This window comes from Homo sapiens, chromosome 8 (genome assembly GCF_000001405.40).
Source record: "Homo sapiens chromosome 8, GRCh38.p14 Primary Assembly".
NCBI lineage: Eukaryota > Metazoa > Chordata > Mammalia > Primates > Hominidae > Homo > Homo sapiens.
Window position 1 is genome coordinate 112,181,348 of NC_000008.11, and position 16,383 is coordinate 112,197,730.

Consider the following 16,383-nt stretch of genomic DNA (forward strand, 5'->3'; position numbering starts at 1 on the left):
TGTATCAATGTTTGTGTTCCTTCCAAAACATATGTCAAAACTTATGTTAAAACAGTATTAAAAGGTGGTGCCTTTAGGAGATGATTAGGCCATGAGGGTTCTGCCCTCATAGATGGTCTTAGTGGTCTTATAAAAGGGCTTGAGGGGCTGGGCACAGTGGCTCACACCTGTAATCCCAGAACTTTGGGAGGCCAGGCAGGTGGATCACATCAGGCCAGGAGTTCAAGACCAGTCTGTACAACATGAGAAAACCCCCATCTCTACTAAAAACACCAAATAAATAAATAAACAAATAAATAAATGGGCATTTTGGCAACACACCTGTAATCCCATCCACTTAGGAGGCTGAGGCATGAGAATCATTTAAACCTGGGAGGCAGAAGTTGCAGTGAGCCAAGGTCACACCATTGCACTCTACACTGGGCAAACAAACAAACAAACCAAAAAAACAAAAAAGGGTTTCAGTGAATTTGGTCCTTTTTGCTTTTCCACCTTCCACCATGTAAAGATAGCACATTCAAGGTGCCATTTTGGAAGCAGTGACCTGGCCTTCACCAGACACCAAACCAGCCAGAACCTTAATTTTGGACTTCTCAGTCTCCAGAACTATGAGAAATACATTTTTATTCTGTATAACTGCTCAGTCTCATGCACTGTGTTATAGCAGCACAAATAGACTAAGATAGTTCATATCATTCCTTGAAGTATGTTCAATAAAGCACATCTGCATAACACTTAGATTTTATTTTTCTTTGAAAAGATTAACTTGCAAGAATTCCATATACTTCTTTTGGAAAAAAAGGAAATATGGAAAAAAATAAGAATAGGAAAACAATAATAAAAGAATATTACATTTTTTTCTCCCCATTTAGCTAATATAGTTGACCATTGAACAATATGTATTTGAACTGTACTTTTATGTGGATTTTTGTCACCCTTCCTTTTCCTCCTCCTCCTCAGCCTACTCAACATGAGGATGATATGAACTCAACATGAAGATGAAGACCTTTATGATGCTCCATTTCCACTTAGAGAATAGTAAATATGTTTTCCTTATGATTTTCTTAACAACATTCTTTTCTCTAGAATACTTTATTGTAAGAATATAGTTTATAATATATATAACACTCAAGATAGATGTTAATCAACTGTTTATATTATCAGTAAGGCTTCTGGTCAACATTAGGCTGTTAGTAATTAAGTTTGGGGGTGAGTCAAAAATTACATTGTGAATTTTCAACTGTTCAAGGAGAAAGCGCCCCCAACTCCCTCATTGTTCAAGGTCAACTGCATATCCCATAGTCATCTGAAGTCTTTTTTTAAAGTGTTAATTAATTCATTGAATTATTTTTTCAAATTTTAAAAAAGTTATCTTTATTATTTACAGGCAGGCTAAGTGTAAGAGAGAAGACAGTAAATTAGGAAAAATATCTTTTACTTCATGCTTACATTTTAAGCATGTACATTAGCAAAGTGAGAGCCAAAGATAATTGTTATTCACTGTTCTTCAGAATTAAGCAATTTTATGTCACCTTCTGTAGAGTTGAAAAATAAATTCCATGGATCTACAATGTGGATTTGAACATTAAGGATTTTCCAACCCTTGTCTTGGTGCATGGGGGCTTAGTAAAAACCAGGTTATTCAATCCTGCAGGTGAATATGAAGGTGACACGGTCCCAATTTTGGGATTTGGAGAGGATTAACAACTGGGATAGACCTAGGGCTAGATAGTAAAGGGATTGTGGGATCCAAATATTGTTTAAATGTTTAATTTGGAGACAGTCTTCGGGTATCACATGGATTGTCTCTCATATGCGCTTGGTCTTCTTGAGGATAATAATGTTTCCCAAGGTACCATATCAGATTTTAAAAAATTAAATTCTTCTAGCTACTCTATGAATCACAATTATTGAAGTTACCACAACCCCAACTATTAATTCTTGCTCTGTGCTAATAAGGACTACACATCAGGTCTTCTGCTAAGTACTGGGGATACAGTGGTGAAGAAAGCAAAACCAACTTTGCCCAGAAATAACAGAGTCTATTTAGTAAAGACATTTAAGTAAATAAGAAATTAAATTACAATGACATAGATGCCATGGTAGGGATAGGATAGGGTATTTTAAAAGCACATAGGAAGGTCACAACCTTGGAAAATTTTCTCAGAAGATGGTGTTCAAACTGACAAAGTATAAAAATTAAAAGATATAGGTTTAGGGGTGAGGTGTGAAAAGGTAATGTGTTTCAAACAGAGGTAAGAGCATGCCCAGTGGATAAGAAATGAGAGGCTTTGGGTAAAGAAAGAGACCACCGATGCTAGGAAGAAACTGCATCAACTAACGAGCAAAATAACGAGCTAACATCGTAATGACAGGATCAAATTCACACATAACAATATTAACCTTAAATGTAAATGGGCTAAATGCTCCAATTAAAAGACACAGACTGGCAAATTGGATAAAGAGTCAAGACCCATCAGTGTGCTGTATTCAGGAAACCCATCTCACGTGCAGAGACACATATAGGCTCAAAATAAAGGGATGGAGGAAGATCTACCAAGAAAATGGAAAACAAAAAAAGGCAGGGGTTGCAATCCTAGTCTCTAATAAAACAGATTTTAAACCAACAAAGATCAAAAGAGACAAAGAAGGCCATTACCTAATGGTAAAGGGATCAATTCAACAAGAAGAGCTAACTATCCTAAACATATATGCACCCAATACAGGAGCACCCAGATTCATAAAGCAAGTCCTTAGAGACCTGCAAAGAGACTTAGACTCCCATACAATAATAATGGGAGACTTTAACAGCCCACTGTCAACATTAGACAGATCAACGAGACAGAAAGTTAACAATGATATCCAGGAATTGAACTCAGCTCTGCACCAAGCAGACCTAATAGACATCTACAGAACTCTCCACCCCAAATCAACAGAATATACATTATTCTTAGCACCACATCACACTTATTCCAAAATTGACCAAATAGTTGGAAGTAAAGGACTCCTCAGCAAATGTAAAAGAACAGCAATTATAACAAACTGTCTCTCAGACCACAATGCAATCAAACTAGAACCAGGATTAAGAAACTCACTCAAAACTGCTCAACTACATGGAAACTGAACAACCTGCTCATGAATGACTACTGGGTACATAACAAAATGAAAGCAGAAATAAAGATGTTCTTTGAAACCAATGAGAACAAAGAGACAACATACCAGAATATCTGAGACACATTTAAAGCAGTGTGTAGAGGGAAATTTATAGCACTACATGCCCACAAGAGAAAGCAGGAAAGATCTAAAATTGACACCCCAACATCACAATTAAAATGAACAAAAAACCAAACACTGCATATTCTCACTCATAGGTGGGAATTGAACAGTGAGAACACATGGACACAGGAAGGGGAACATCACACTCTGGGGACTGTTGTGGGGTGGGGGAAGGGGGGAGGGATAGCACTGGGAGATATACCTAATGCTAGAAGGCAAGTTAGTGGGTGCAGCGCACCAGCATGGCACATGTATACATATGTAACTAACTTGCACATTGTGCACATGTACCCTAAAACTTAAAGTATAATAATAATAATAACAATAATAATAAAAAGAACTAGAGAAGCAAGAGCAAACACATTCAAAAGCCAGCAGAAGGCAAGAAATAACTAAGATCAGAGCAGAACTGAAGGAGATAAGAGACACAAAAAAACCCTTCAAAAAATCAATGAATCCAGGAGCTGGTTTTTTGAAAAGATCAACAAAATTGATAGACCACTAGCAAGACTAATAAAGAAGAAAAGAGAGAAGAATCAAATAGACGCAATAAAAATGATAAAGGGAATATCACCACTGATTCCACAGAAATACAAACTACCATCAGAGAATACTATGAACACTTCTATGCAAATAAACTAGAAAATCTAGAAGAAATGGATAAATTCCTTGGCCCATACACCCTCCCAAAACTAAACCAGGAAGAAGTTGAATTCCTGAATAGACCAATAACAGGCTCTGAAATTGAGGCAATAATTAATAGCCTACCAACCAAAAAAAGTCCAGGACCAGACTGATTCACAGCCAAATTCTACCAGAGGTACAAGGAGGAGCTGGTACCATTCCTTCTGAAACTATTCCAATCAATAGAAAAAGAGGGAATCCTCCCTAACTCATTTCATGAGGCCAGCATCATCCTGATACCAAAGCCTGACAGAGACACAACAGAAAAAGAGAATTTTAGACCAATATCCCTGATGAACATTGACGTAAAAATGCTCAATAAAATACTGGCAAACCAAATCCAGCAGCACACCAAAAAGCTTATCCACCATGATCAAGTGGGCTTCATCCCTGGGATGCAAGGCTGGTTCAACATACACAAATCTATAAACATAATGCAGCACATAAACAGAAGCAAAGACAAAAACCATATGATTATCTCAATAGATGCAGAAAAGGCATTTGACAAAATTCAACAGCCCTTCATGCTAAAAACTCTCAATAAATTAGGTATTGATGGGACGCGTCTGAAAATATTAAGAGCTATCTATGACAAACCCACAGCCAATATCATACTGAATGGGCAAAAACTGGAAGCATTCCCTTTGAAAACTGGCATAAGACAGGGATGCCCTCTCTCACCACTCCAATTCAACATAGTGTTAGAAGTTCTGGCCAGGGCAATCAGGCAGGAGAAAGAAATAAAGGGTATTCAATTAGGAAAAGAGGAAGTCAAATTGTCCCTGTCTGCAGATGACATGATTGTATATTTAGAAAACCCCATCGTCTCAGCCCAAAATGTCCTTAAGCTGATAAGCAACTTCGGCAAAGTCTCAGGATACAAAATCAATGTGCAAAAATCACAAGCTTTCTTATACACCAATAACAGACAAACAGAGAGCCAAATCATGAGTGAACTCCCATTCACTATTGCTTCAAAGACAATAAAATACCTAGGAATCCAACTTACAAGGGATATAAAGGACCTCTTCAAGGAGAACTACAAACCACTGCTCAATGAAATAAAAGAGGACACAACCAAATGGAAGAACATTCCATGCTCATGGATAGGAAGAATCAATATCATGAAAATGGCCTTACTGCCCAATGTAATTTATAGATTCAATGACATCCCCATCAAGCTACCAGTGACTTTCTTCACAGAATTGGAAAAAACTACTTTAAAGTTCATATGGAACCAAAAAAGGGCCCGCATTTCCAAGACAATCATAAGTCAAAATAGCAAAGCTAGAGGCATCAAGCTACCTGACTTCAAACTATACTACAAGGCTATAGTATCCAAAACAGCATGGTACTGGTACCAAAACAGAGATATAGACCAATGGAACAGAACAGAGCCCTCAGAAATAATACCACACCTCTACAACCATCTGATCTTTGACAAACCTGACAAAAACAAGAAATGGGGAAATGATTCCCTATTTAATAAATGGTGCTGGGAAAACTGGCTAGGCATATGTAGAAAGCTGAAACTGGATCCCTTCCTTACAGCTTATACAAAAATTAATTCAAGATGGATTAAAGACTTAAATGTTAGACCTAAAACCATAAAAACCCTAGAAGAAAACCTAGGCAATACCACTCAGGACATAGGCATGTGCAAGGACTTCATGTCTAAAACACCAAAAGCAATGGCAACAAAAGCCAAAATTGACAAATGAGATCTAATTAAACTAAAGAGCTTCTGCACAGCGAAAGAAACTACCATCAGAGTGAACAGGCAACCTACAGAATGGGAGAAAATTTTTGCAATATACTCATCTGACAAAGGGCTAATATCCAGAATCTACAAAGAACTTAAACAAATTTACAAGAAAAAAACAACCCCATCACAAAGTGGGTGAAGGATATGAACAGACACTTCTCAAAAGAAGACATTTATGCAGCCAACGGACACATGAAAAAATGCTCATCATCACTGGCCATCAGAGAAATGCAAATCAAAACCACAACGAGATACCACCTCACACCAGTTAGAATGGCGATCATTAAAAAGTCAGGAAACAACAGGTGCTGGAGAGGATGTGGACAAATAGGAACACTTTTCCACTGTTGGTGGGACTGTAAACTAGTTCAACCATTGTGGAAGACAGTGTTGCGATTCCTCAAGGATCTAGAACTAGAAATACCATTTGACCCAGCCATCCCATTACTGGGGATATACCCAAAAGACTATAAATCATGCTGCTATAAAGACACATGCACATGCATGTTTACTGCGGCACTATTCACAATAGCAAAGACTTGGAACCAACCCAAATGTCCAACAATAATAGACTGGATTAAGAAAATGTGGCACATATACACCATGGAATACTATGCAGCCATAAAAAAGGATGAGTTCATGTCCTTTGTAGTGACATTGATGAAGCTGGAAACCATCATTGTCAGCAAACTATTGCAAGGACAAAAAACCAAACACTGGGTGTTCTCACTCATAGGTGGGAATTGAACAATGAGAGCACGTGGACACAGGAAGGGGAACATCACACACTGGGGCCTGTCATGGGGCGGGGGGAAGGGGGAGGAATAGCATTAGGAGATACACCTAATGTAAATGACGAGTTAATGGGTGCAGCACACCAACATGGCACATGTATACATAGGTAACAAACCTGCACGTTGGGCACATGTACTCTAGAATTTAAAGTATAATAATAATAATAATAAAAGAAACAGAGAATCATTTAGTATAGCTTGAGATTAGAATGTTTCCGGAAAATATACATTAAGAGAAAAACAAATGTAAAGTCATGACTGGCATAAAATGTCAATATTATCCTGAAAACAATAACAAAATATTTTTTTGTCTTGGAGTGATGCAATCATTATTTTAGTGACATAGCCTGCAATTCAATATATCCTCAGTTTAGAGAAAAACAAACAAATGAACAAAGAAAAATAGAGTGAAAGCATACAAAAGACCCAGGAAGGTTGTGTGATAATCTCAGTGAGAGGAGACTGTGGCATGCAGTAACGTAATGACAGTGTATATGGAGAAAATTTTCATATTCAAGAAATAGTAAGATGAGGGAATCCAACAAGAAAATGTGATTTGCTGAGTTGGGGTAGTAAGAAAGGAGTCAAAATGACACTTAGGTTTCTGGATGTGGCAAATAAGTGACTGTGTCATTTAACTGAAATCAGAAACAGAATGAATAGGTTTGGTGATAATAGTTCACTTATAGAAGCATACAGATTGAAAGCTTTGTGAAATGTTCAATAGGGCAGTGATATATGAACTCAGAATTCAGAAGAGAGATCTCAGCTATTTGTTTTATCACAAGTAGACAACAATGGACAGATACAACTGCATAAAATTGCCCAGGTGGAATCATTTAAAAGGACAGAAAAAAAAGGTTTCTAAAGAACCTAAGATTATTAATTTGAGTGCACTTCTATGTAAAAATATTTAAAAAGAGAAAAATCCAGAAGATTGAAGAAACCATGGAAGATCCAGGAGAAAGTCAGAAGAAGGATACCATAGAAGTCTCAAGGGCAGGGGGTGAGGAAGAAGTGTCAATAATCACAAATATCCCCTAAGGGATTAACTATGTTAAGGACTACGTATTTTCTATTAACTGTAGTTACAGGTGGTCATTTCAGCAAATTTAAACAGGTATTTCAGTGGAATGTTGAATGTGATACTCAGGTTTGAATGGTCAATAGAAGTGAGGAATAGAATCTGTATGTGTACAAAATTCTGTCACGTTTGTCTACATAATCAGAGGATACAGACAGGCGTAGTATTCGAGGTTGTTGGAGGGATTTTTTGTTTTGTACGCTCTTAATATTGTTTGTAGCTGACAGAGACTTGGACTAGTTGAGTGCTAATAGGTAAGGACACAAAACAAAGGAAGAAGTTGAAAAGAGAAGACAGAGTTATCTAACAGAATTCTAGGGCACAAGTGGAAGAGAGTGATTTTATATGCCAATAAAAAGTCAGAGCAGGGGGTAAAGCCACAGGTGGAAGTATCGGAGTATCACATTTGTTCATACGAGATAAGAAGAGTGGTATCCTTAAAGTGACTTTGGGATAGAAGAGAAGATAGAGTTAATAGCTTGTTCTCTATCCTAAAATGTGCAGCATGTAATCAAACAGAAATTTCTACTTGAGAAGGATACTGATGTCCTACTGTCTTTAAGCCACATGCAGGTTATGATTGATGTATTATCTGGCCATAATTGATTCAAGAAGATGGAAAATAACTTTGGTGAAAAGCTGAAAGAAAGTAAGTGGGTTAGCCCATTTTTTTGTGTTGCTATCAAGGAATACCTGAGACTGGATCAGTTATAAAGAAAAGAGGTATAATTGGCTCACAATTCTTCAGGCCGTACAGGAAGCATGGCACCAGCATCTACTTGGCTACTCTGAGGCCTTAGGGAGTTTCCATTCATGGTGGAAGGCAAAGGAGGAGCTGGCATAGGACATAGTGAGAACAGGAGTGAGAGAGAGTGGGAGAGGTCCAACATATTAAACCACCAGATCGCGCATGAATGAGAACTCACTTACCATCAAGGGAATAATGACAAACCATTCATGAGGGATCGGTCCCCTGTGATTCAATCACCTGCCACCTCCAACACTAGGAATCACATTTCAACATGAGACTTGAAGGGGACAAACATCCAAACCATTTTAGTAAGGCAGTTTCTTCACTCCACACTTCTTATGAGCATATTTAAAAGATTTTAGAGGTTGGACTAGGGAAGAGGAAGCATCAAAGTATTAAGAATCTGGAGGAGGGCGCCTGTAGTCCCAGCTACTCCGGAGGCTGAGCCAGGAGAATGGTGTGAACCTGGGAGGCGGAGCTTGCAGTGAGCCGAGATCGCACCACTACACTCCAGCCTGGGCAGCAGAGCAAGACTTCGTCTCAAAAAAAAAAAAAAAATCTGGAGGAGGAAAAACTAATGTACAGATTAATAATAGAAGTAACATTATGTGTTTCCTAATAGTTTTGGCTGGTCATATTTTTGTTTATGTTTTTATTTTTGTTTAAAAATTGGTCTTAGGACTCCCTCTGAGAATTGAAGCACTCAGAACTTTATTCTGAGGGACCTCTAATTCTAGCCGACAGGCTAGCAATAGCTTATCTTATTTCATTCACGCCTAGACACATACATGTTTTCACATTATAATATCTCTGAAACTGCAATGCACCCTGTCATCAGTAATAACATAAAATCAGCCACATGGTAATTATCATTTGGTGATCATTGCTTATGCATGTAGAAATTTCATCATGGCTATTGATGTTGTCAACATTTTGAGTTATGTTCAAATAGTATTAAAATATATTCCCAAATTATATATTGTATTTTAATATTGATATAAAAATTACTGAAGCAAATATTTGTCATTAGAGAAGCAATCAACCACAGTGTACACATTTTGTTGTCACCACCAGACATCAGGATTTAAGATGAGAAGATTGAAGAATATGATGCTGTATTACATTTTTCATTGAGATTTTATACATATGCATCTATGTATAAAATTCTATTTGTTTCCTGGTCTCTTATCACCTTTGGTGATTTGTGTGAATTTAACTTTTCCAAATTGGTCAACTGCACCTTGGATTGATATTACCTCTGAAAAATACTTCACTGAAAACTCTGGACTTGTGTGGATATGTACAGCCTATACCATGCCAAACAATTCAACTGAAGGTAGAAAAAATTACCAAATATCTTAGAATAGATGAAAACAAATGTCAAAGCATGAGAGGCTGCTGTGATCAATGCATTCACTGCCCAGAGCTATCAATAAAGCATTGTGTCACAGCTTAACTTGTCTTTCTAAGAGGTGCACAGAATAATGGTACATCTTACAATCAATGCGGTCTTAGTACATAAAATACTTGTATTTGTTTCCTGATCTCTCACCACCTTTGGTGATTTGTGTGAATTCAACTTTTCCAAAATTGGTCAACACATCTTGGATTGCCATTACCTCTGAAAAAATATTTGTCTATTTCACTGAAAATTCTGGATTTCTGGAAAAAAAAAAGTGAAGTCTAAGTCTTGATTGATTTTACTCTGGATGAAGAGGCGTGGGGAGTACTAGCTTGCAGACTCCTGTGAGAATAAAATGCTTTCTTGTCACTAAGAGTAGCACAGGAGACTAGTCCCTGAACGATATTCTGCGTGTGTGTGTTCAATAAGAAATGTATTGTAAAAGCCCCATCTAGAAAAGAGAAACAAATATTACCCTCTAGCCAGTAACATACAAAGGAGTGGCCATAACCTAAATGTACTAGCTAAGAAGTGCATCACAAAATACTCCATCTTAAAATACAATGGTCTTTGAGGATTTTATAATTGAACCAAGAAAATGTAAGAAACTATAAAAAATTGCTAAGTTCTAGTAAAGCTTTTCACTCTGTCTCTCCTTATAGGAACCTGACAAGCAAATTACCATCTTTCTTAGTAGATCTGTTTAGGAATAGGGGTATGCAAGGCAAAATCTTTTTTTAAAAAAATCCCTCCTTGTTTTATTTAATTAATGAGCCTTTCATTAGCAAAAACATGTAGTTTGGAATGGCACAATTGACTTTCCATTCATCCTTTCTGGCAGCATACTGTGAGCAAGGCAAAATTAATCTGGTATCTTGAGCTATTTTTCACTCTTCAAGAGCAAAGTTAGAACATGTTTCATTTACGTATATGGGCCTGTCAGTTCTCTGGGTGAGTTACGTAGACTGGCCCCTCACCAAAAGCATTAAAATAAATTTTACTAATTTGACATCTACTAAATATATCGGAGATTAGGGCAGCTACTGGACTCTTTAAAGCTTTATTGGAACTGAACTAACTTATAGTGAGGTAAAAGTATTATTTGAGGCTTGGGTTATCCATCCAAAATTTGAATTACCCTAATCTCATTGCTCTGAAAAATAAAGAGGTGTCAGAGTTCCACATTTCACACAAAAATAACTTTAACATAAATATTACTTATATTCTGATATATTACTGAGTGCAGCATTTATTATTACATTTAGATATTCTTTCTTTAAGGCTCTTTGAAAAGTCTTGTGTTGGTTTCTAGAACAGTCTAAGGACAAACTACTCTGGAATGCCTACATAAATAGTGATTTGTCCCAGGATCTACTAAATAAGAATATCTGATTGAGTCTTCTGAATTTTAAGTAAGGTCTTCAGGAAAGTCTAATGACAATAAAATTGTCTCTGGCATGACAGTTCTACAGAAAATTCCCACTAATATGACCACTTAATTAGTATCAATAATTGAAACATATTATACTAGTATTTATGCTTTTTATAACAAAGGGAGAGTTTAAATAAGATTATCTGTATTCGTTTCCTGTAAAATAGTATTATTCCTGCTGAGCATGGTGGTTCACACCTGTAATCCCAGTACTTTGGAAGGCCAAGGCAGCAGATGGCTTGAGTTGCAGACAAGCCTGGGTAACATACCAAAACCCCGTCTCTACTAAAAATACAAAAAATTAGCCACTTGTGGTGGTTTGAGCCTGTAGTCCTGGCTACTAGGGAGGCTGAAATGGAAAGATCACCTGAGCCTGGGAAGTCAAGGCTGCAGTGAGCCATAATCACATCACTGCACTCCAGCCTGGGGGACAGGATTGAGATCCAGCCTCAAAATTTAAAAAAGTATTATCCCTCCATTAAGAGCACTAACACACAGTTTAGTAATTACTGATCAATTATACCTCCTTTTATGCATTGCTGCCCCATACTTTTCAACTACCTGGATCATTGCATTGGCACAATGCAAGATGTTTTCCCTGATAACTACCAGTTCACTCTTCAGCAAACAGGCTGCCACCTGGTTCCAGAGACAATTCACATGCCACATACTATTTGAGCTGTAATTTTGCTTGTTACGTATGAGGAAACCACATTTTTTTTTCTTTTTTTGAGACGGAGTCTCGCACTGTTGCCCGGACTGGAGTGCAGTGGCATGATCTCGGCTCACTGTAACATCCGCCTCCTGGGTTCATGCCATTCTCCTGCCTTAGCGTCCCGAGTAGCTGGGACTACAGGCGCCCACCACCACGCCCAGCTAATTTTTTGTATTTTTAGTAGAGATGGGGTTTCACTGTGTTAGGCAGGATGGTCTTGATCTCCTGACCTTGGAGGCAACCACATTTTAAAAACTGTCTTTTTGGACTAGTCCAGGTATCAACTGTGATTATTCAGGTCCTCAAACAAACAGTAAAAAACAAAAACAAACAAACAAACAAAACATGCCTTTGAATAATAAAAGAAAGATGGAGTAAGAGAAAGCAGGGAGCACTCATGTATGACACTCATGAAAAGAGAAGGGGATGGAGGGATGATTGAGCAGGACTGAAATACTGCCATAAAAAAATTAGATTGATGGGAAGCCCCATGGGAAGGAAAACCTACTCTTTAGAAGAGTCTCACACTGACCCAGAAGGACCCTGACCTAGTAATCACATAGTGCTTGGTCATAGGCTATGAATAGTCTGGTGAAAATGTAGCCTCAGAAGGAATGCTATGGCAGATGCAGCAGCAGGAACCTCTTAGCTTATCACATTTCTCACAGCTGTGTCTCTCTTGAAGGGAGATCTCATCACCCTAAGATGAGCTCTTAACCCATAATCTATGTATGAAAGAAGGAATACAAGACAGAGACTTTCGATTAGCTTGGATTCACTATCATCTACAATGTCCTACAAGGTGCTGTTGGTCTGGCTCTTTCTATCTCTCCAGCTTATCTTCCTATTCTCTTTCCTTTGCTCTCTGTGCCAACCCCAACATTTAGTTTTGAGTTCTTTCAATGTGTGTTTTTTCTCTGGTACCAAAATATCATTTGCATGTTTGAAGTAGGTTGAATAACGGCCATCCAAAGATATCAAGTCCTCAGCCCTGCAAATCTAAAATATTGCCTTATTTGGAAAAAAAAAAAAAGTCTTTGCAGCTGAGATTCAGCTACAGATCCTGAGGTGATGCAATTACTCTGTATTTTCCAGCCCTAATGCAATTCCAAGTGCAAGGCAAAGAGCAATAACAGACAAACAGAAGAAGACAACGTGAAAACAGAAGCAGGGATCAGAGTGATGCAGTCACAAATTCCACAATCCCAGGGCAGCCAACAGCAGCTAGGAGAGGCAAAAATAAGAACCCTGATTCTTCCCTGCAGCCCCTGGCAGGAGTGTGGTCCTACTGGGGTTTGGACTTCTAGCCTCCAGAATTGTAAAAGAATAAATTTCTGTTGCATTAAGTCCTCAAGTTTGTGGTAATTTGTTACCTCAGGAAGCTAATACAATATTTTACCAAGGATGTGTTTGCGTGGGGTGGGAGAGAGGGAGACAGTTAACTTAGACATCTGATTGATGGAGAAACTACTGTAAATTAAATGTGGACCCTGGAATTTAAACTGGATAAAGCCTGGAAGGGACTTTGAGGTGTGTCTCTCAGAAAAGGGTTGAATTGGGTTTAATCTGTGGAAAAAGGCAGCAAAGCAGAAAAGCAAACTGTGGCAAAGGCAGTATTCATCAAATATTTCCTGTCCTATGTTCCGTATCTCAGCTACCCTTAAAGTTAAGTTGGGTCCCCATGGTAGTTTTGACAAGGAATTACAAAAGGAAGGGATGTACAATTTCCTCACCAACAGTGAGAAGTCATTGTCCTTTGTCCATTCCTTTCTTCTCTTGACTCAGAAACAGGAAGTCTCCTGTTAAACAAAAACACATGATAAAGATTCCTTGCCTAAAAAATGAAGCCGGGCTGTCTGACCAGCCTTGGAATTTGCATGTGTAAGAGAGGTTTGTTAAGCCATTGAGCTATTGAATTTTCCTTGTGACTACAGGATAACCTGACTATAAAAATAACTTAATATCTTTAATGGGAAAATGAGTTACATGAATATCTGTAACAAAAGATTTAATAAAGTATGTGCCAAGAGAGGTGTTAACAGTGTACTGTTGGAGTTTGGAGAAAATGAATGTTTACTTATGTAATATTTTTTACTCTTGTCTGTAGAATCAAGGTAGCATTTAAACAGAATTTGTAAAAGGGCCAGATTTCTTTGGATAGAGATGTTAAGAAAGAAGCATTTCTGGTGTATAGAATGATGTGAGCATATATGGCAAAGTTTGTGGCATGTGGGGTGAATGTAAATAAAAACAAAACCACAATAATATAATTATACCTAGTATTTATTGAGCATTTTCACTGGTCATGCAATATTTTAAAGGCATCACTAGTATTTACCTATTTAAACTTCATAATGAGCCTAAGAGTTAATTTGTTACCCCAATTTTCACGTCAAAGCTGAAACTTGGAGATAAACAACTTACAAATGTTGAATGCCTTGTAAATGGTGCAGACTGAATGTAAACTCAGGCATCTGCATTTTTGTGTAAAACCATAATATAGGACGAGTCCCTGTCAGTAAACTTTCATCTACACATAATAGAAAACTCAACTAGTTTCAAAAACACAATATTGTTTTATATGACAAGAAGTTTATGAGTGGGGCTTCTCCAGGAATGGTATTGTCAGGTCTCTGAGCCCAAGCTAAGCCATCATATCCCCTGTGACCTGCACGTACACATCCAGATGGCCGGTTCCTGCCTTAACTGATGACATTCCACCACAAAAGAAATGAAAATGGCCTGTTCCTGCCTTAACTGATGACTTTATCTTGTGAAATTCCTTCTCCTGGCTCATTCTGGCTCAAAAGCTCCCCTACTGAGCACCTTGTGACCCCCACTCCTGCCTGCCAGAGAACAACCCTCCTTTTTCCTTTACCTACCCAAATCCTATAAAACAGCCCCACCCCTATCTCCCTTCGCTGACTCTCTTTTCGGACTCAGCCCACCTGCTCCCAGGTGGAATAAACAGCTTTATTGCTCACACAAAGCCTGTTTCATGGTCTCTTCACACGAACACAAGTGAAATTTGGTGCCGTGACTCAGATCGGGGGACCTCCCTTGGGTGATCAATCCCCTGTCCTTCTGCTCTTTGCTCTGTGAGAACGATCCACCTATGACCTCAGGTCCTCAGACTGACCAGCCCAAGAAACATCTCACCAATTTCAAATCCGGTAAGCAGCCTCTTTTTACTCTCTTCTCCAACCTCCCTCACTATCCCTCAAACTCTTTCTCCTTTCAATCTTGGTGCCACACTTCAATCTCTCCCTTCTCTTAATTTCAATTCCTTTCATTTTCTGGTAGAGACAAAGGAGACACGTTTTATCTGTGGACCCAAAACTCTGGTGCCAGTCACGGACTAGGGAAGGCAGCCTTCCCTTGGTGTTTAATCATTGCAGGGATGCCTCTCTGATTATTCACCCAGGTTTCAGAGGTGTCAAACCACGCAAGGATGCCTGCCTTGGTCCTTCACCCTTAGCAGCAAGTCCTGCTTTTCTGGGGGAGGGGCAAGAATCCCAACCCCTTCTCTCCGTGTCTCTACCCCTTCTCTGCTTTTCTGGGGGAGGGGCGAGAACCCCTCAACCCCTTCTCCTTCACCCTTAGCGGCAAGTCCCGCTTTTCTGGGGGAGGGGCAGGAACCCTGACCTCTTATCTCTGCACCCTGATCCCTCATTTCCGTGCCCCAACCTCTTATCTCTGCATCCCAATCTCTTATCTCTGTGCCCCAACCCCTTATTTCTGCCCCCCCGACCCCTTCTCTGCTTTTCTGGAGGGCAAGAACCCCCCACCCCTTCTCCATGTCTCTACTCTCTTTTCTCTGGGCTTGCTCCTTCACTATGGGCAAGCTTCCACCTTCCATTCCTCCTTCTTCTCCCTTAGCCTGTGTTCTTAAGAACTTAAAACCTTTTCAACTCTCACCTGACCTAAAATCTAAGTGTCTTATTTTCTTCTGCAATGCCGCTTGACCCCAATACAAACTCGACAGTAGTTCCAAATAGCCAGAAAATGGCACTTTCAATTTTTCCATCCTACAAGATCTAAATAATTCTTGTCATAAAATAGGCAAACAGTCTGAGGTGCCTGACATCCAGGCATTCTTTTACACATTGGGCCCTCCCTAGTCCCTGTTCCCAATGCAACTTGTCCCAAATCTTCCTTCTTTCCCTCCCGCCTGTCCCCTCAGTCCCAACCCCAAGTGTCCCTGAGTCTTTCTAACCTTCCTTTTCTACAGACCTATCTGACCTCTCCCCTCTTCACCAGGCTAAGCTAAGTCCCAATTCTTCCTCAGCCTCCGCTCCTCCACCCTATAATCCTTTTATCACCTCCCCTTCTCACACCCTGTCCAGCTTACAGTTTCGTTCTGTGACTAGCCCTCCCCAACCTGCCCAGCAATTTCCTCTTAAAAAGGTGGCTGGATCTAAAGTCATAGTCAAGGTTAATGCTCCTTTTTCTTTATCCCAAATCAGATAGTGTTTAGGCT

The 16,383-nt window shown here is 39.0% G+C and overlaps 1 annotated feature.

The window, feature by feature from the left end:
• Nucleotides 13,423-14,008: an enhancer, noted in NCBI's record as "OCT4-NANOG hESC enhancer chr8:113206999-113207584 (GRCh37/hg19 assembly coordinates)". NCBI's record gives its function as "activates a minimal SCP1, AML or CMV promoter by ChIP-STARR-seq in naive H9 embryonic stem cells {active_cell/tissue: H9 hESC(naive)}" and the evidence as "EXISTENCE:reporter gene assay evidence [ECO:0000049][PMID:30033119]".